Genomic DNA, 19,070 nt, shown 5'->3' on the forward strand with positions numbered 1-19,070 from the left:
ACGGGGTGTCTACTAAAAATACAAACCACTGAACCCAGCTAAGTTTTGTATTTTTAGTAGAGACGGGGTTTTGCCGTGTTGGCCAGGCTGGTCTTGAACTCCTGACCTCAGGTGATTCACCTGCCTCAGCCTCCCAGAGTGCTTGAATTATGGGTGTGAGCCACCGTGTCTGGCCTCTACTTATATCCTAAAGATTTTTTTTTTTTTTTTGAGACATAGTTTTGCTCTGTCGCCCAGGCTGGAGTGCAGTGGCGCAATCTCGGGTCACTGCAAGCTCCACCTCCCAGGTTCACACCATTCTCCTGCCTCAGCCTCCTGAGTAGCTGGGACTACAGGCACCTGCCACCACGCCCGGCTAATTTTTTTGTATTTTTAGTAGAGATGGGGTTTCACCGTGTTAGCCAGGATGGTCTCAAGCTGCTGACCTCGTGATCTGCCTGTCTCGGCCTCCCAAAGTGCTGGGATTACAGGCATGAGCCTCCGTGCCCGACTATATCCTAAAGATTTTATTTATTTTTATTTTGGAGACAGAGTCTCCTCTGTCACCCAGGCTTGCGTGCAGTGGGGCGATCATGGCTCACTGCAACCTCTGCCTCCTGGGTTCAAGCGATTCTCCCGCCTCAGCCTCCCGAGGAGCTGGGATTACAGGCATGTGCCACCACACCCAGCTAATTTTTGTATTTTTAGTAGAGATGGGATTTCACCATATTGGTCAGGCTGGTCTTGAACTCCTGACCTCAGGTGATCCGCCTGCCTTAGTCTCCCAAAGTTCTGGGATTACAGACGTGAGCCACCACGCCCGGCCTATCCTAAAGATTTTAAAAACTGTTTTAAAACGACACCCCACTTATATTTAGATTTGATTATTTACAGTCTTTCACCTCAAGGCCCTGAAGTTTTGAACAAGAGGGTTAAGTTGGAAGTACAAGTTCTCGAATCAAACTGCTGGAGCTCAAAATCCAGGTTATTTCTACCCCAGCCCCAGAAACCGTGAGACGATGGAGAAGCCATTTCACCTCTCTGTGTTTCAATATTTATTTATTTATTTGAGCTGGAGTCCTGCTCTGTCCCCCAGGCTGGAGTGCAGTGGCGCGATCTTGGCTCCTTGCAACCTCCACCTCCCGGGTTCAAGCGTTTCTTCTGCCTCAGTCTCCCCAGTAGCTGGGATTACAGGTGCCTGCCACCATTTCTGGCTAATTATTTTGTATTTTCTTCTTTTTTTTTTCAGACAGAGTCTTGCTCTGTGGCCAGGCTGGAGTGCAGTGGTACAATGTCGGCTCACTGCAACCTCTGCCTCAAGTTCAAGCTATTCTCCTGCCTCAGCCTCCAGAGTAGCTGGGACTACAGGCACGTGCCACCATGCCCAGCTAATTTTTTGTAGTTTTGGTAGAGACAGGGTTTCACCATGTTGGCCAGGATAGTCTTGATCTCTTGACCTCGTGATCCGCCTGCCTTGGCCTCCCAAAGTGCTGAGATTACAGGCGTGAGCCACCGTGCCCGGCCTATTTTGTATTTTCAGTAGAGACAGAGTTTCACCATTTTGACCAGGCTGGTCTCAAACATCTGACCTTAAGTAATCCGCCCGCCTCAACCTCCCAAAGTGCTGTGATTACAGGCGTGAGCCACCGTGTCTGGCCCTGTTTTTCAATTTTTACCATTTACAAGTACTTTCAGAAGTACTTAGAACAAACCTAAATGACTAGGGCAAGAAATTTTATCATCTCCGTTTGACACTTGGTGAAACAGTCTCAAAATGTATGACTAGCCCAAGTTCATAGAGGTGATCAATGATGCTACAGTTATGAAAATCAGATATTCATCCAGACTTTACTATGACAAAGATTCTTTGGCCAAACTTTAGTCAGACTTCTGAATCTTCTGCTAGGTCCATCCGTGCACTTCCTTGTAAAGTCTAGTTTTAGCAGAAAACTGAGCTAAGTCAGTTTAGCAAGAACCCCTCTTCCTCCATATCTGATCAGGCTCCTCATCCTCCACCATCTCCCAGGTGATGTCTGATCACTGTGGCCTGTCTTCAGCAAGAATCCTGTTAGATTGATTTGGCCAGAGTTTCACTTACCCCTGAGGTTTCCTCTTAGTAATTTTCTATCTACTGACCCCCTACATTGTTCCTTGGTGAATCAGATTCCTGAACCATTGCTCAAGACAAATGTCTGCCAAAGCTGGTAAGAACAGATGTGGATTCTTAAGGTATCAGTATACTCTGGCTGGGTTTGGTGGCTTGCACCTGTAATTCCAGCTACTTAGGAGGCTGAGGCAGGAGGATCGCTTGAGCCCAGGAGTTTGAGGCTGCAGTGAGCTATGATCATGCCACTGACTCTGGCCTAGGTGACACGGTAAGACGCTGTCTCTTAAAATAAGGAAAAAAAACGCCGGGCGCGGTGGCTCACGCCTGTAATCCCAGCACTTTGGGAGGCCGAGGCGGGTGGATCACGAGATCAGGAGATCGAGACCATCCTGGCTAACACAGTGAAACCCCATTTCTACTAAAAATACAAAAAATTAGCCGGGCGTAGTGGCTGGTGCCTATAATCCCAGCTACTCGGGAGGCTGAGGCAGGAGAATAGCGTGAACCCGGGAGGCGGAGCCTGCAGTGATCCGCGATCGCGCCACTGCACTCCAGCCTGGGCGACTGAGCGGGACTTCGTCTCAAAAAAAAAAGGAAAGAAAAGTATATTCTCTGAAACTGTGTTACAGTCCCAGGCTTCTTTTGAAAGGTACCTTCTGGGCTGGATGTTCTTTCTGGCTCTCTGTGAAGCCTCTGTATTCTCTCTATTGGATCTTGCTTCTCCCATGGGAAATTCTGTCACCTGAAACCCTTCTTCTCTGAAACCAGAAATCCCTACTGATTATAACCTTTGCCAACTTTGTCCACCACTGCCAGATCCTTTCCCTTCTCACTCCAGCCCCACAGTCACTTGCACTTTAGGCTCCCTACCCTCCACTGGGGGCTCTGAAGGGACTGAGAGGACCCTCCAAATCAATCACTTGAGGCTGAAAAGAGAGAAAAAAATGAGACTGTTTTGAAACAGGGCAAATAAAAAAAAAAGTAAAAAGAATTTTCCACAAATATTGGTAAAAAGCTTTAGCCCTTACTAAGTAGGTAAACTCAACTTGTCCCATTTTCTTTTTTTTTTTTTTTTCTGAGGCAGATTGTCGCTCTGTCGCCCAGGCTGGAGTGCAGTGGCACGATCTCTGCTCACTGCAACCTCCGCCTTCAGGGTTCAAGTGATTCTCCTGCCTCTGCCTCCCTAGTAGCTGGGACTACAGGTGCCCGCCACCAGGCCCGGCTCATTTTTTTCTATTTTTAGTAGAGATGGGCTTTCACTATGTTGGCCAGGCTAGTCAAAGTGCTAGGATTACAGGTATGAGTCACCGCACCCGGCCAAGTATTCCTATTTTTATGGCAATATAGTTATTTGCATAATTTCTATAAAAATGTGTTCTCCTGTAACAAGACATAATTGGAGGCACTGGTTGTATTAACCAGGTTTTGACTGGAATGTCATATTTTCAAACATGACCAGATGGCATTAAGGAGCTATGGTTGACTTTATGGAGCCAATAAAGTCTTCGTTTGAAAAACTGGCCTGATTGTTCCCAGACTTACAGGTGAGTGGCCTGAGTGGCCGGGCGCGGGGGCTCACACCTGTAATCCCAGCACTTTGGGAGGCCGAGGCAGGTGGATCACGAGATCAGGAGTTCAATACCAACCTGGCCAAGATGGTGAAACCCCATCTCTACTAAAAATACAAAAAAAAAAAAAAAAAAAAATTAGCCAGGCGTGGTGGCAGGTGCCTGTAATCCCAGCTATTCAGGAGGCTGAGGCCGAGAATTGCTTGAATCCAAGAGGCAGAAGTTGTAGTGAGCTGAGATCACGCCACTGCACTCCAGCCTGGGCGACGGAGTGAGACTCCGTCTCAATAAACAAACAAAAACAAACAAAAAAGCCAAAAAAAAAAAAAAAAAAGAACCACAGATGAGTAAGGAATGTCACTCTCTGGCAGGCCCAGGAACTTCAGTGTATTTTAGGGACCCCCAAGAAGAGAGGAATACAGTCAAATCTCTAAGTGTTTCAGATGTAGCCTGATGGCTAATAGTTTAAGATGTAGTTCAGGTAATCCATGAAGATTTCCTGAAGGAAGTTCGCATGAATGTGAGAGGGCAATTAACTTTTATAATTTTTATTGAGCACGTAGTATATACTTGTCAGATGCTCTTCTACACATTTTACAAATGATTCTTAATCCTCACAACAGATCTTTGATTAGGTTTTTAAGGAAAACTAGTTCTTTCCAAAATAACCTAATGATCACAAAACATATAGAACATACAACTCTGCATCTTGACTATGGTGCGTAGGTCTACATGTGATAAAATGACATTGAACTATACACACATCATACAACTATCAAATCCCTCCTTTTGAGATTGTACTAGAATTATGTAATATGCAACCATTGGGGGAAACTGGGTAAAGAGTAAATTGGATCTCTCTGTACTATCTTTGAGTAGTGTTTAGGTATTTTATAAAAATAATGTCCTACAGTTTGGGTTTGTCAAATGGTTTTCTCATAGTTAGATAGGGGTTATGGCTTTTGGAGAGAAAGACCACAGAGGTCTGTAGTATATTTTCAACTGTAATCTATTTCAAAATAAAAAGTTTTAAAAAAATTCTCCAAGGGGGGATGATTAGTAAATTGATTAGTCCTTTCTAGACCTCCAACACACCCCACCACACACTCACACAGACCCACACTCCTATTAATTCCGGTAACTCGGGTTGTTTGGAATGTGGATAGAGAAACTAAGCTTAACTATGCGCTTCCAGCACCTCGTATCTGGTACTTCTGTTCAACAGAAAGCCTTGGGAATGGGGAGGGCAGGCGTGGTAAAAGGTACAGGTTTGGGAAGGTCGCTCGGTTCCTTCCAATCCAAACGAGAGGCTTCTGATTGTTTATTCTCACACCAGAGCCGTGACCGAGACCCAGAGGTCCGCTTCCGGCCACGGCCGAACAGCTGCACCGTGCGTACCGGGAACGGTCAAGGCGCAGCTGGAACCGCTGCAAAAGGCCTCCGGGCGTACCGGACAGGTCGCAAGGGCGGGGGTCCCCACCTAGCGGAAATGCACGGAGGCCAACCCCTCCCCCTGCCCCCGCGAGGAGCGGGGCGGACTCGGCAGCCGCCACTCCCCAGGCTCACAGGAAGAAACTGGGACGCTGCGGACGCGGAACTGGCCAGACCCGCGGCGCGTGGCACGCGCGAGCCCTCCCGCGCATGCTCCACCCGCCGGCCTCCAGCCCGCGCCCCGGGCCCCGCCTCCCTCCCTGCTTCTCCCCCTCTCCCGTCAGCCTCCCTCCGAGTTTGGCCCCTCCGGCCGGGCGATCGACGTTCCGCGTGCGTGCGGGCGCCTGACTTCACTTCCGGCTAACGCGCTCGGCTTGCCCCCTGGCCCCGGATGGTGACTGGTGGTGGTGCTGCACCTCCCGGGACTGTCACTGAGCCGCTTCCCAGTGTGATTGTGCTGAGCGCAGGCCGGAAGATGGCGGCTGCGGCTGCGGCGGCCTCGGGCCCCGGCTGCTCCTCGGCGGCGGGGGCGGGGGCGGCCGGGGTCTCAGAGTGGCTGGTGCTGCGGGACGGCTGCATGCACTGCGACGCCGACGGGCTGCACAGCCTGTCCTACCACCCTGCGCTCAACGCCATCCTGGCCGTCACTAGCCGCGGGACCATCAAAGTCATCGACGGCACCTCGGGGGCCACACTGCAGGCCTCCGCGCTCAGTGGTGAGTCTTCCGCACGCCGGGCGGGCGCGAAGCCGGGGAAAGAAGCCGTCCAGCCCCGGGGCTCGGCCTCGCGACTCGGGGAAGCGAGATGGCGAGAGGGCAGGGCTGGGGGTTCGGGCCCAGCCGTGAAGGGAGGCCCGGAAGCTGATGGAGGGGGACCTTAGGACTTGGCTTTTTCAGCGGCTGCAGTTGGGAGGAAAGACCGGCGAGTCAGGGAGTGGTGGGAGGGGAGTTGCCTTTCGGGCCTGGAGCGTCCGGTCTGGCTTGGTCCTCCGCGAGAGGTGAGGAGACCTTGGAGCTTGGCACCGGAGGAAGCGAGGCCCGGGTAGGCCCTGGAGAGGCTGTCGGTCCTGCGTCCGGTTAGATGAGAGCGAAAGGCTGGAAGGGTTGACCCCGGGCGGAGAGGCTGGTGGCCGGAGGCGAGGGGCGGGGAGCGTCTGAGCCGGCAACCAAGCCCTCCCTTGTGGGAGAGGAGCCGGCAGTCTGCTGTTCTCAGGTCCCGCAGTGCGGGGGACAGACCGCGGGCTGTGCGCCCAGCGTGGGGGTGGGGGTGGGGTGGGGGTGGGGTGGGTCGTGGTGGGGGTGGGGAGGGAAGTAGGCGGGCCAGCTGCCTGAACTGCTTGGTCGACGACTGTAGGACTCTGCGGACGCCGAAGACGACTAGACCTGGTCCCCTTGCTCGGGGCTTCCAACTTCTACGCCCCAGTGACGAGAAAGTCAGGACCTGTGGTGTATGAAATAGATTCCTTTGGGTTTGTAACTTCAGGCTGTCTCTACTTGTTTTCCCACAGCGAGCCGAAAATTAGGATTTGAAGGTGTGTCTGAGTCTCACCATTGGAGGAGAGCACTTCTGGGTGGCGTAAACCTTGGTCCAGGGACGGGACTTTCAGATGCGTGAGGTGTATGCTCAGTGGACGGACTGGAGTGGTTTTGGAATGGCCCTGGCTGAGTTAGATTTGGCGGAGATGACATTTCATTTGTGGTTAAATGATGGGTGGCTTAATTTGGATGTTGTAGGTTTAGATTGAAAAGTTAGTGTATGAGTGAATCGGACTCCTGCATAGAGATGTAATGTATACAACTGTCTGCGTTTAGCCAAGTGGAAGTAGTTATGTGGTCAACCAATTCACTTGTATTTTAACGTAGACGAACAAGGAAAAGTTTACTATGTGAGTAATAAGGCATTTGTAAGAGTAAATGGCAATTTAGGGATGCAAACGTGAAATTAGACATGTTAATTATTGTTGATGTGAGAGTTGTGAAAGAATTGGATTATGTATAGTTTCAGGATATAAACTTGGAACATATCTAAGAGAAAGTTTTGGGAGGTAGGTTTGTAATTTTTTCTTTTCTTGGCTTAGGTAAATGATGGGGTGGCCCAGATGTAGCAGTGAACAGTTACTGCAACTTGGACATAATGGCTTCTCACTGTGTGTAAGAGGGAGATGCTCATTGGTAATTGGATGTCTTTCTTTTTAAAAGTCATTTAAAAGTATTTCAAGTATGAAAAGGTATGAAGAGTAATTACAGTGAACACCATGCATCCCCAACTCAGGTTAAGAAATAAAACTTTACAAATAGGATTAAAATCTCAGCTGAATCTCTCCTGGACTGCATTTCTCCAATCCTCCCTCTTCATAAACGTTATCTTTAATTTGATTTTATCCTTTTCATATATGTCTACACTTTCTAGTATATGTTTCTATCTTGAGGATGTAGTATTTTTGTGATTTTTAACTTGGAATAAGTGGTATATGTACTAGGATTTCTAAAGAAAGTCATTAACAAAAGTATTCAAGTGTTTTGGATAGAAAGAGGAATTTTATGGTGTGCTTTTTATGTCTGGAGGCCATGTTTGAGAATAATAATGTGTGTCAGGATTTGTTGGTTGGGGAAATTGGACATATATTTATGTGCCTGTACATGGAAGGAAAGACAATATTCACTTTAGTGGTAGATTACTAAAGAGGAGGGTTTTAGATGTATAACATGAAGGTGTAGGTAGATAAGTAAAATGTAGCATTGATTTGGGATAACAGGTTTTGTTGGGGCATCTGTTGATTAGAAGAGTTCGGGATTGGATACAATTGCAGGTCCCCATGCATGAAGATTGAGTATGTGAATTAAAATATGTAGAAGGGTTTATAGTGAACGGAATGAAGGATTACAGAAAAAATTTGGAAGTTAACAATGGATGCATTCTGAAACATTTTCATATATGAGAAGTGAAATTTATTATTATTTGTAAAATTTATTCGTATTTGTAGAGATGGGGTTTTGCTGTGTTGCCCAGGCTGGTCTTGAACTTCCGGCCTCAAATGATCCTCCCACCTCAGCCTCCCAAAGTGCTGGTATTACAGGCATGAGCTGTCCCACCTGGCCAGAAGTTTGTTATTAATAATAATTATCAGAGGTTGTATAGGGTCCTATTTGCCCCAGTTCAGATGATTGAGGAGGGAATGCTGCATTTTATGTTTTACTTAGAATCTGCAGGTATTTAGTAAGTTTGCTTTTAATGATTAATAGAGGGTGACAGCCCTATAAATAGAGTAGAGAGAAGATGCCAGTAGCGATCATGGTCCTAACATAATCCCTCTTTCCCGTTTATGGGCAATGGGCCACTTTCTTTTCTACCACAGAGGAAAGACATCTGTGTCTGAGGGGATAAAGACTAGGTGATACAGTAATAGGTCTTATGGACGCCTGGGGTTCAGTTTATAGGGTTATGGGTTGCCTGTAGATTTGCAGTTGAAGGATGGGAACAGGACTTGTATGTATATGTATTGAGTGGCAAAGACAGTGAATTTTTAACTATGACTACTAGTATATGTCTTTATATTATCTGTATCTGATATAAAATGTTTATAAATACAGTTTAACTGGATTAAGAGCTATCAGTATATACACAGGCTGGGTAAGTATTTGCTCCCTGTCAGTATTTAAGAGTGAAGATTTTTGAAGCTCTGAGCTGCGTGATCTGGCTTTTACTAGTCTCTCTAGTCTTGTCTCCTTATTTATAAGTTTTGTGAAATGGTCCATTTAATTCTTTTTCCTAACTACAGTAGTTTTGTTCTTTCTTGGAATGCACCAATTCGCTCCAGTCATTTAGCTAAGTCTTAGTCATTTTCAAGACCTAGAGCGTATCTTAACTTCCTGATCCCTTTAGCCAGAAATGACTGAAGCCCTAAGCACATATGGTCCTATTAGTGTCCATTTTAGTAATCTGGCAGGTTAGTATTTTGTGGTATTTTTTCAACCGTCTTGAACTATTTAAGTTTAAATTCCATTTTATTTAGCTTTTTGTAAATATATGAGGTCTGTCTCATATTTCAAGCTCCTTGTGGGGAGGTACTTTGTTTATTTGTTTATATATCCCTTCCCCAGGATGCCTAATATACAGTGTGTGTGTATGTGTGTGTGTATGTATATATTTATTTATTATTATTGTTTCTTTGACAGAGTGTCACTCTGTGGCCCAGGCTGGAGTGCAGTGATGCGATCTCGGCTCACTGTAGCCTCTGCCTCCTTGGCTCAGGCAGTCCTCCTGCCTCACCTTCCTGAATAGCTGGGATTACAGGTACACACCACCAGACCTGGCTAATTTTTTTTATTTTTATTTTTTATTTTTAGTAGAGACAGGGTTTCACCATGTTGGCCAGGCTGGTCTCGAACTCCTGACCTCAAGTGATCTGCCCACCTTGGCCTCCCAAAGTGTTGGGATTACAGGTTTGGGCCACCGCGCCCAGCCCTAATATATACAGTATAAACTCGAGTATTTTTGATTGGATGCATATATAACAATGAGTATATTAGTACTTCCTTATATACTAATTGCTAAGTAAACACATTCCTTGACTTTTTTTTTGTTTAAATATGTGTTTCTTTTTTAGAGCAGTTTTAGGTTAACAACAAAATTGAGCAGAAAGTACAGACAGTTCCCATATGCCCTCTATCTCTGTGCTCACACAGCCTCCCACCCATCAGTATTCTGCACCAGAGTGGTATGTTACCATCCGTGATCTTAGCACTAACAATCATCATCTCCCAAAGTGCATAGTTTACATTAGGATTTACTCTTGGTGTTGTACAGGCTGTGGGTTTGGACAATGTATAGTGACATGTATCCACCATTGTACTATCATAAAGAATAGTTTCACTACCCTAAAGATCCCCTGCTCTGCCTATTCATCCTTCCCTTCCTTTTCCCCCCAACTGTTCCCTCCCCTCTCCCTGCTGGCAACCACTGATCTTTTTACTGTCTTCATAGTTTTGCCTTATTCAGAATGTCATAGTTGTATTTATACCGTTTGTAGACTTTTCAGGTTGCCTTCTTTATCTATATGCATTTACAGTTCTTCCTTGTCTTTTCATGGCTTGATAGCTCATTCCTTTTTAGCGCTAAATAATATTCCATTGTCTGGATGTAGCACAGTTTATCCATTCACATACCGGAGGACATCTTGCTGGCTTCCATGTTTTGGCAATTATGAATAAACCTGCTGTAAACATTTGTGTGCAGGTTTTTGTGTAGACATAAGTTTTCAAATCATTTGGGTAAATACTAAGGAGCTCAATTGCTGGGTTGCATGTGAGAGTATGTTTACTTTTGTAAGAAACTGACAGACTCTTAGTGGCTGTGTACCATTTTGTATTCTCATCAGCAATGAATGTTCTACTTCCTCACCAGCATTTGGGGGTTTTATATTTTGGCCGTTTTAGTAGTTGTGTAGTGGTATCTCCTTTTTTAAAATTGTAATTTCCTAATGACATGATGTTGAGCATCTTTTCATATGCTTATTTGTCTCTTTTTATATGTTTATTTGCTGACTTTGTTTTTTTTTTTTTTTGAGACAGAGTCTCGCTCTGTCGCCCAGGCTGGAGTGCAGTGGTGTGATCTCGGCTCACTGCAAGCTCCGCCTACCAGGTTCACACCATTTTCCTCCCTCAGCCTCCCAACTAGCTGGGACTACAGGTGCCCCCCACCAGACCCGGCTAATTTTTTTTTGTATTTTTAGTAGAGATGGGGTTTTACCATGTTAGCCAGGATGGTCTCGATCTCTTGACCTCATGATCTGCCTGCCTCGGCCTCCCAAAGTGCTGGGATTGCAGGCATGAGCCACCTCACCCAGCCTGACTTTGGGTTTTAAAAATAAAAAAGCTACACACCACTTGACCATACTGTTCATATTACTAGATATGTCCTTCACCCTAGCTATTGTTTGTTCATGAAATTTAGCATAATAGTTAGAAAGGAGCTTGGTTCTGGACACAGATAGCTTGGGTTAAGATCCCAGTGTCTTAAAAATTTTTTTTTTTTTAAATTCATCCCATTACACAGAATTATTTTAATTTTTAAACACCTGTCTAAATTTTTAAACACCTTGACTAAATTATTTAATATTTCTGTTCCAGTTTCCTTATTTGCAAAATGAGGATAATTGTACTAATTGTGAGAATTAAGTGATTATGCATGTAAAGTGTTTGCAGCAGTGTACTTACCAGACAAGTGCCCCAAAAATGTTTGTCTTATCTACTTTAATTCCCTGTAAATACCTTGCTTTTGGCCTGGTGCTGTGGCTCATGCCTGGGGTCCCAGCACCTTGGGAGGCTGAGGCAGGAGGATCGCTTGAGCCCAGTAGTTGGAGACCAGCCTAGGCAACATAGTGAGACCTTGTCTCTAGAAAAAAATAAAAAAATTTGCTGGGCATGGTGGTGCACACCTGTAGTCCCAGATACTCGGGAGGCTGAGGTGGGAGGATTGCTTGAACCTGGGAGGTTGAGGCTTCAGTGAGTTGTGATTGTGCCAGCCTGGGCAACAGAGCAAGACTCTGTCTCAAACAAACAAACAAAAACAAGAAAACCTTGCTTTTTTTTTCTTTTTTACTTAAAGCTTTTTTTATATTCAGTTTTTGGACTTAAACTGAACTTTGAACTTCCTAAGGTTTTTTTGTGATTTACCACTTTCCACCATCCTACAGAACCCATCTAGATTTTGCTTTTTTGTGAGAGTAAGATATTGTTAAGGTGTTCTCTTACTTAATTACTGGGGGTGATGATTTCTCTTACTTCCTGAAATAATGCCCCTCCCCAGTGTAGTACATTTTATACCGTTTGTCTTTTTTATAAGCTTTTTTGAGATTATGTGGAGAGAGCATGCGCTTTATGTTAGGTAGTCCTGAATTTTGAATTTTAGTTCTTTTATGAACTCACTACTTAAACCTCCTGAACCTCAGCTTCCTCATCTGTAAATTAAGATTAATGTTTAATAGGATGGTGGGGAAGACTAAGTGGTCAAACATGTTAAAAGTGCCTAACAGTGCATGACAAATGTAAAATAGGGGATGCTCAGCAAATGCTAATTCCTTTGAGTCTCTTGGCTGCTTGGTCAATATTGCCACACTCCTCGTGATTACTTTAAAAAATGTTCACTAAATGTTTATACATAGAGGATAGGCAGATGTAGATGGAAATATAAATGTTTGTAACAAATATACAGTAATCTGTGTTTGGATAAATATCTTTTAGTGTATTGGTGTGGCTAAATGTCAGAATGAAGTTAAGATAGTTGTATTACTAGTTCTGTGTGTATACAGATTTGTTTATGTAGTATATATACATATGTAAGTGAAGGTATATGTGTGCAGGTATTAATCAATGGATATGGCAGTATATGGGTAGGAGACAGTCATGTCTCTTCAGTTTCCGAAGTGAATTCCAGATCTGTGTTGCAGTGAAGAAGAAAAAACCTGCTCAGTGTTTTTATTTTATTTTATTTTATTTACATATTGAGATGGAGTCTTGCTCTGTTGCCTAGGCTGGAGTGCAATGGCGCAGTCTCTGCCTCCCGGGTTCAAGCGATTCTCCTGCCTCAGCCTCCTGAGTAGCTGGGATTACAGGTGTGCGCCACCATGCCTGGCTAATTTTTTTTCTATTTTTAGTAGAGATGGAGTTTCACCATGTTGGTCAGGCTGGTCTGGAATTCCTGACCTCGTGATCCGCCCGCCCTGGCCTCCCAAAGTGCTGGGATTGCAGGCGTGAGCCACCGTGCCCAGCCCTGCTCAGTGTTCTTAGACAAACACTCCAGTTTTACATTTCTTTGTATCTTTTTTCTTTTCCTATATAGATAGTGACTTTTTTTTTTCCACTGGGTTTTTAGAGTCAGTCCCTCAGTAATACAGATAATGACTTTGATTTGAGAAATTTGTATGTGGTCATAAATAAGAGGAAGATCTTTGTACTTTACTGTAGCTTCAGTGAGGTTTAGATCGGGTGTTTTTTTTTTTTTTTTCTTTCCTGATGTAAGAGCTTCTTGATCAAACTTCAGGCCCAGAGCTGCCTGCTCTGAGAGGTCATGGTGCCTGCATAGTCCTCAAGAAATAATTTTTTTTGGCTAAAATGTGCAGTCTCCCAGTGATGGAAACTGTAAATGATTCAAAACAGTTCTAATTCCTGGCTAACTTCGGTACATGCGGCATTCCTACTCTCAACTATTCTTTGAGAGATAAACATGATATAGAATTCGGATCTCAATAGCCCTAGAAGATGTCTTATGAATGCATTTGAGTTTTTATAAAAACTTAATTTAGCAGAATCTCTTTTTGGGCTATGAATATGTACTTTGGCTCTGTTTCTGGTGACTGACTTTAGTGATATTAAGAAAGAATAGAATATTGGCTCTGGAGCCAGACAATTTAAGTTCCAGGTGTGACCTTATGCAAACTGCTTAACCTCTCTCTGTGCTTCATAATTAGTACTTAACTCACTGGGTTATTGTAAAGATTAAATAAACTGATACATACAGAATACTGCTTGACTCACCATAAACAGTCAATAAATGTTACTTTTTTTTTTTTTTTGAGAGGTCGCCCTGTCGCCCAGGCTGGAGTGCAATGGCGCGATCTCAGCTCACTGCAACCTCCGCCTCTCAGGTTCAAGCGATTCTCCTGCCTCAGCCTCCTGAATAGTTGGGATTACAGGCGTGCGCCTGCACGCCCAGCTAATTTTTTCTATTTTTAGTAGAGACAGGGTTTCACAATGTTGGCCAGGCTGGTCTCGAACTCCTGACCTTGTGATCCACTCGCCTCGGCCTCCCAAAGTGCTGGGATTACAAGTGTGAGCCACCGTGCCCGGTCCTACTTTTTGTTTTGTTGTCTTAAATTATATAGTTCAGTTCAACAAGTGTTTGTCTGCCTTATGTAGGTAACAAGGTTAATTTGAACTACCTTGGCCATGATTCCCATATTTTAAAGTACAAGAACTCCCAGTTTAAGGTAAAAAAATTAGGGCCCTATTATGATTGGAGCTTGGTTGCAGTATTAATTAATTGAGAAAATATTGTAAAAACAACTGCTTTTAAGCAGTTTTATTTATTTATTTTATTTTTTAATTTAATTTAATTTAATTTAATTTATTTTTTGAGATGAATTCTTGCTCTGTTGCCCAGGCTGGAGTGCAGTGATGTGGTCTTGGCTCACTGTAAACTCTGCCTCCTGGGTTCAAGCGATTCTCCTGTCTCAGCCTCCCAAGTAGCTGGGATTACAGGCACGTGCCACCATGCCCAGGTAATTTTCGTCTTTTTACTAGAGATGGGGTCAGGCTGGACTTGGACTCCTGACCACAGGTGATCCACCTGCTTCGGTCTCCCAAAGTGCTGGGATTACAGGCATGAGCCACCATGCCCAGCCAGCAATTTTAATTATTAGACCTCTTTTACCTATGTATGTGAGAAAGAATACAACGTGAATGTTTTGGGCTTTCTTTCCCTGCTGGCTTAGCTTTTAAGATTTTTGGGGAGGAGAGGAAACAGATTAGTTAATGCTTTTCCATTTGCCCTCCAACTTCAAAAATTTTGTTGCTATTTTCTCTTCACTTGTTCTTTTTGTCTTTTTGGATTTGTTCAATACCTTCTTTATTCCTTTACTGTCTTTTCAGTGGGATCTTGGGAGGGAGCAGAGGTAAATGTGGATGTATGATATTATTTTTAAACTGAAAATCTCTAGTTGTAACTATACTTACATTGTTAAACATTTAGTAGTCTGTCCTTAGGAATGTTGGCTATAAGTATATATAGAACTTAAAAAAATAATAGATTTCTGTAATATAGTATGTAAGAACAGTGGGGACGCAAGCAGGAGTGACCTCTCTGATATGTGTGTTGTATTGCTGATGGCTTCATGAAAAGGGTGCCTTTGGCAAGATACTTCTCTGAGATACCAACTTTAAAATGGGCTAATGGCCTGTAATCCCAGCACTTTGGGAGGCTTAGGTGGGAGGATTGTCTGAGGCCAGGAGTTTGAGACCAGCCTGGGCAACATAGTGAGACCCCGTCTCTACAAAAAAAAAAAAATTAGCTGGGTGTGGTGGTGCATGCCTGTAGGCCCAGCCACTTGGGAGGCTGAAGCAGGAGTATCACTTGAGTCCAGCACTTCAGGCAGCAGTGAGCTGTGATTGTGCCACTGCACTCCAGCCTAGGGGAGAAAGGGGCTTTTAATACCTTTCTAAACATAGAAATTTTTTGCATACTGTAGAACTGTAGCACTTCAAATGTAAGGGATACAAAAAAGTTAAGATAAACTTGGGTGTAGAAGAGAATATCATATAGAGATACAAACTGCAAAAAGAAGGAAATACAGACAGGAGATAATAGAGATACAAATAAAAAGAATACAGTAATTGCTTTATAAAACAGTCTGTGGCCTGGGCATGGTGGCTCATGCCTGTAATCCCAGCACTTTGGGAGACCAAGGTGGGTGGGTCACCTGAGGTACGGAGTTCGAGACCAGCCTGACCAACATGGTAAAACCCTGTCTCTACTAAAAATACAAAATTGGCTGGGTGTGATGGTGCATGCCTGTAATCCCAGCTATTCGGGAGGCTGAGGCAGGAGAATCACTTGAACCTGGGAGGCAGAGGTTTGCACTGAGCTGAGATTGCACCATTGCAATCCGGCCAGGGCAACAACAGTGAAACACCATCTCAAAAAAAAAACAAAAAAACGAAAAACAACAAAACAGTCTGTGGCTGGGACAGCGCTGTTAAAAAAAGTAATTATTAGGCTGGGCATGATGGCTGTCGCGTGTAATCCCAGCACTTGTGGGGCCAGGACAGGCAGATCAGTTCAGGAGTTTGAGACCAGCCTGGCCAACTTGGTGAAACCCCGTCTCTACTAAAAATACAAAAATTAGCTGGGTGTGGTGGTGTACACTTGTAATTCCAGCTACTCGGGAGGCTGAGGCAGGAGAATCGCTGGAACCCGGGAGATAGAGGTTGCAGTCAGTCTAGATCACAGCACTGCACTCCAGTCTGGGCGAGAAGAGTGAGACTGTCTCCCTGCTGCCCCCACCTTCCCCCCAAAAGTAATTATCATCAGGTTTGAGTATGTTAAATCAGGGATGCATCTTAGAGGAGGTAAATACTATGTTTACTTTTTAGAGGAAATGAATTTTTGAGTGGGGAAGATGGGAATGTCTTCTTCAAGATTTATTGTGGGCAGCAGGAATTTAAATCTTCATAATTTGTTTATGTACTTTTACTTTGATTTATGAAGTAGGAGAGACAGAAGACTGGGAGATGGCACAGGGCAGTGGTTCTCAACCTTTGTTCATTTAGAATCATCAGGGGAAATTTTAAGAAAATACCTCGCTTGGGCCCCAGTATTCTGACTTAAGTGGCCTGGAGTGCAGCCCAGGCATACTGTTTTTTTTTTCTTCTTCTTCTCAGAAGTGTGCCAGCTGGTTCTAATGTGCAGTTAGGTTTAGGAGTTCAAACTCCCTGGCTGGGCATGGTGGCTCATGCCTGTAATCCCAGCACTTTGGGAGGCCGAGGTGGATGGATCTCAAGGTCAGGAATTCGAGACCAGCCTAGCCAACATGGTGGAACCTTGTCTCTACTAAACGTAGAAAAAATTAGCCAGGCGTGGTGGTGTGCCCCTGTAATCCCAGCTACTCAGGAGGCTGAGGCAGAAGAATCGCTTGAACCCAGGCGGCAGAGGTTGCAGTGAGCTGAAATCACACCATTGCACTCCAGCCTAGGTGACATAGCGAGACTTTGTCCCCCACACCAAATAAATAAATAAATAAATAAAAAATAAAACAGGAGTTCAAACTCTCTAACTCCCTAGACTTTAGAGAAGTTTGTTTAGTGTGTCTGGGATAAATGAGAGCTTCCCGCCCCTGTCCCCTTTTGAAACGGAGTCTCACTCTGTCTCCCAGGCTGGAGTGCAGTGGTGTGATCTCAGCTCACTTCAACGTCTTCCTCCTGGGTTCAAGTGATTCTCTTTCATCAGCCTCCTTAGCAGCTGGGATTACAGGTGTGTACCACCATGCCCAGCTAATTTTAGTACTTTTAATAGAGACAAGGTTTCACCATGTTGGCCAGGCTGGTCTGGAACACCTGACCTCAAGTGACCTGTCCTCCTTGGCCTCCCAAAGTGCTGGGATTACAGGTGTGAGCCACTGTGTCATTATGGCATTAATTACCTCTTGATATACTATAGTAATTAATGCCATAAGGAAAATTACAGCTGATATGAGGATGATGGTATATTAAATTTGTGCTTTTAGGTAGTCTTGGGAAGGCCTCTTTGAGGTGGTGTTTGAGTAAAGATCTGCATGATGCAAGATAGCATCAGTACAGATATCCAGGGGACATTTCTGTTTGTCTGTTATATAATAGACAAAAACAGCTAGATAGATTTTCATATTTGGATGGAATTCGAGTTGGGCTGACTTAAAATGTAGGCTCTATAAGGAGTGATGAAGATGTCTGTGTGACTACCATTCAGGAGATATCTGGCATCTATATTAAACAGAAAACAGTAATTTCAAATATGAGCTCTAAATAGAAATTCGCAAGGGCACATGTTCCAAACCGTAGGATTATTATATTGATTAGTAGCTGAGTTGCTTCTCACATTGGCACCTTTGTGCAGCAGTAGCAATTGATTTTTTTTTTTTTTTTTGAGATGTAGTCTGGCTCTGTTGCTCAGGCTGGAGTGCAGTAGTGTGATCTCGGCTCACTACACCCTCCGCCTCCCGGGTTCAAGCGTTTCTTCTGCTTCAGCCTCCCGAGTAGCTGGGACTACAGGCACACACCACCACGCCCGGCTAATTTTTGTGTTTTTGGTAGAGACAGGGTTTCACCTTATTGGCCAGGCTGGTCTCGAACTCCTGACCTCAAGTGATCCGCCCACCTCAGCTTCCCAAAGTGCTGGGATTACGGGCATGAGCCATCTCGCCCGGCGCCATTGATTTACAGACGGTTAAGGGTTCTCTTGCCCAACATCAGTTGGGGAAGTTAGTCTTCAAATTTTACTTAACTATAGCCAGTTTAGCCAGGTTGCACACCTGTAGTCCTAGCTGCTTGGGAGACTGAGGTGAGAAGATTGCTTGAGACCAGGAGTTCCAGGTTAGCCTGGGCAACATAGTGAGACCCTGTCTCTTAAAAAAAAAAAAAAAAAAAATATATATATATATATATATATATATATATATATATATATGTATGTATGTATGTGTGTGTATATATATGCATATATGTATGTATATATATGTATGTATATATATGTGTGTATGTATACACACACACACACACACACAGCACGCACGGGTGTGCCAAGTTCAGCATCCTAAAGGAATAATATAACTTATGTGTCCCAAGACGTTGAGAGATATAACTGTGATAAATTGAACAATGTATATGAAGAAACCCCACAGCAAGTATCTTACACGGAGTAGTAGGTCTTTAGAGATTGAGCCCTCTCCATGATAAATTTTTCGTGGTGATTATATTTTCAAAACAAATGATGTCAGATACTAAAGATTATAGCAAAGTAAGTGGTCTGATGACACTTTTGGTTAATGTGAATGAAGAGAATCATAACTTGGAACTCTTAATTCCAGTAATTTTGTATCTTTTGGAGAACCTCTTCTGTGCTTAAGTAGATGTTGGTTCTCTTGCCTGAAACAACACTGTCCCTGCATTGTGTTTTATGTTGTATTTTATCATGTGTTACCCCTTTCTTTGTGGTGCAGTCACTGACCTTTCCCAAACTTGTTTTGCAGTGAGTTCTGCTTCATAGGAATACTCATTTTGGCTTTTAATACTATAGTGTTACTAACATTTTTTCTCTTATTAAATGATTTCATTTTTGGTTAATTATATCAAAAGCTTTGTGAGAACCTTACATTAATTTTGTACCTTCTTTTTAAAAAATTTTAAAAATTCTTGTGGGTACATAGTAGGTGTATATATTTTTGGGTTACAGGAGAT

General features: G+C 44.0%; 1 protein-coding gene across 50 annotated transcripts in view, besides 5 other annotated features; it reads left to right on the forward strand.

The window, feature by feature from the left end:
* Positions 5,009–5,521: an enhancer, noted in NCBI's record as "NANOG-H3K27ac-H3K4me1 hESC enhancer chr2:32581762-32582274 (GRCh37/hg19 assembly coordinates)". NCBI's record gives its function as "activates a minimal SCP1, AML or CMV promoter by ChIP-STARR-seq in primed H9 embryonic stem cells {active_cell/tissue: H9 hESC(primed)}" and the evidence as "EXISTENCE:reporter gene assay evidence [ECO:0000049][PMID:30033119]".
* Positions 5,025–5,394: a silencer, noted in NCBI's record as "silent region_11341". NCBI's record gives its function as "represses an Ori minimal core promoter by ATAC-STARR-seq in GM12878 lymphoblastoid cells {active_cell/tissue: GM12878}" and the evidence as "EXISTENCE:reporter gene assay evidence [ECO:0000049][PMID:35858748]".
* BIRC6 (baculoviral IAP repeat containing 6) overlaps positions 5,338–19,070 on the forward strand; it is a 261,856-nt gene continuing 248,123 nt past the window's right edge. For 46 of the 50 annotated variants that reach the window (XM_006712055.4, XM_005264451.5, XM_047445167.1 and 43 more), the window contains exon 1: positions 5,338–5,801. In XM_006712055.4, coding sequence (XP_006712118.1) covers positions 5,477–5,801 — 325 coding nt within the window. In that variant the 5' untranslated portion in view covers positions 5,338–5,476. Of the gene's footprint in view, positions 5,802–6,635; positions 7,257–19,070 lie in introns of those variants that run through there. The other 4 variants (XM_011533003.3, XM_047445193.1, XM_047445192.1 and 1 more) reach the window with 2 other exon arrangements.
* Positions 5,555–5,784: a silencer, noted in NCBI's record as "silent region_11342". NCBI's record gives its function as "represses an Ori minimal core promoter by ATAC-STARR-seq in GM12878 lymphoblastoid cells {active_cell/tissue: GM12878}" and the evidence as "EXISTENCE:reporter gene assay evidence [ECO:0000049][PMID:35858748]".
* Positions 6,036–6,548: an enhancer, noted in NCBI's record as "NANOG-H3K27ac-H3K4me1 hESC enhancer chr2:32582789-32583301 (GRCh37/hg19 assembly coordinates)". NCBI's record gives its function as "activates a minimal SCP1, AML or CMV promoter by ChIP-STARR-seq in primed H9 embryonic stem cells {active_cell/tissue: H9 hESC(primed)}" and the evidence as "EXISTENCE:reporter gene assay evidence [ECO:0000049][PMID:30033119]".
* Positions 9,331–9,529: a silencer, noted in NCBI's record as "fragment chr2:32586084-32586282 (GRCh37/hg19 assembly coordinates)". NCBI's record gives its function as "represses an EF-1alpha promoter that drives an FKBP-Casp9 reporter gene in an ReSE screen in K562 erythroleukemia cells {active_cell/tissue: K562}" and the evidence as "EXISTENCE:reporter gene assay evidence [ECO:0000049][PMID:32094911]".

This window comes from Homo sapiens, chromosome 2 (genome assembly GCF_000001405.40).
Source record: "Homo sapiens chromosome 2, GRCh38.p14 Primary Assembly".
NCBI lineage: Eukaryota > Metazoa > Chordata > Mammalia > Primates > Hominidae > Homo > Homo sapiens.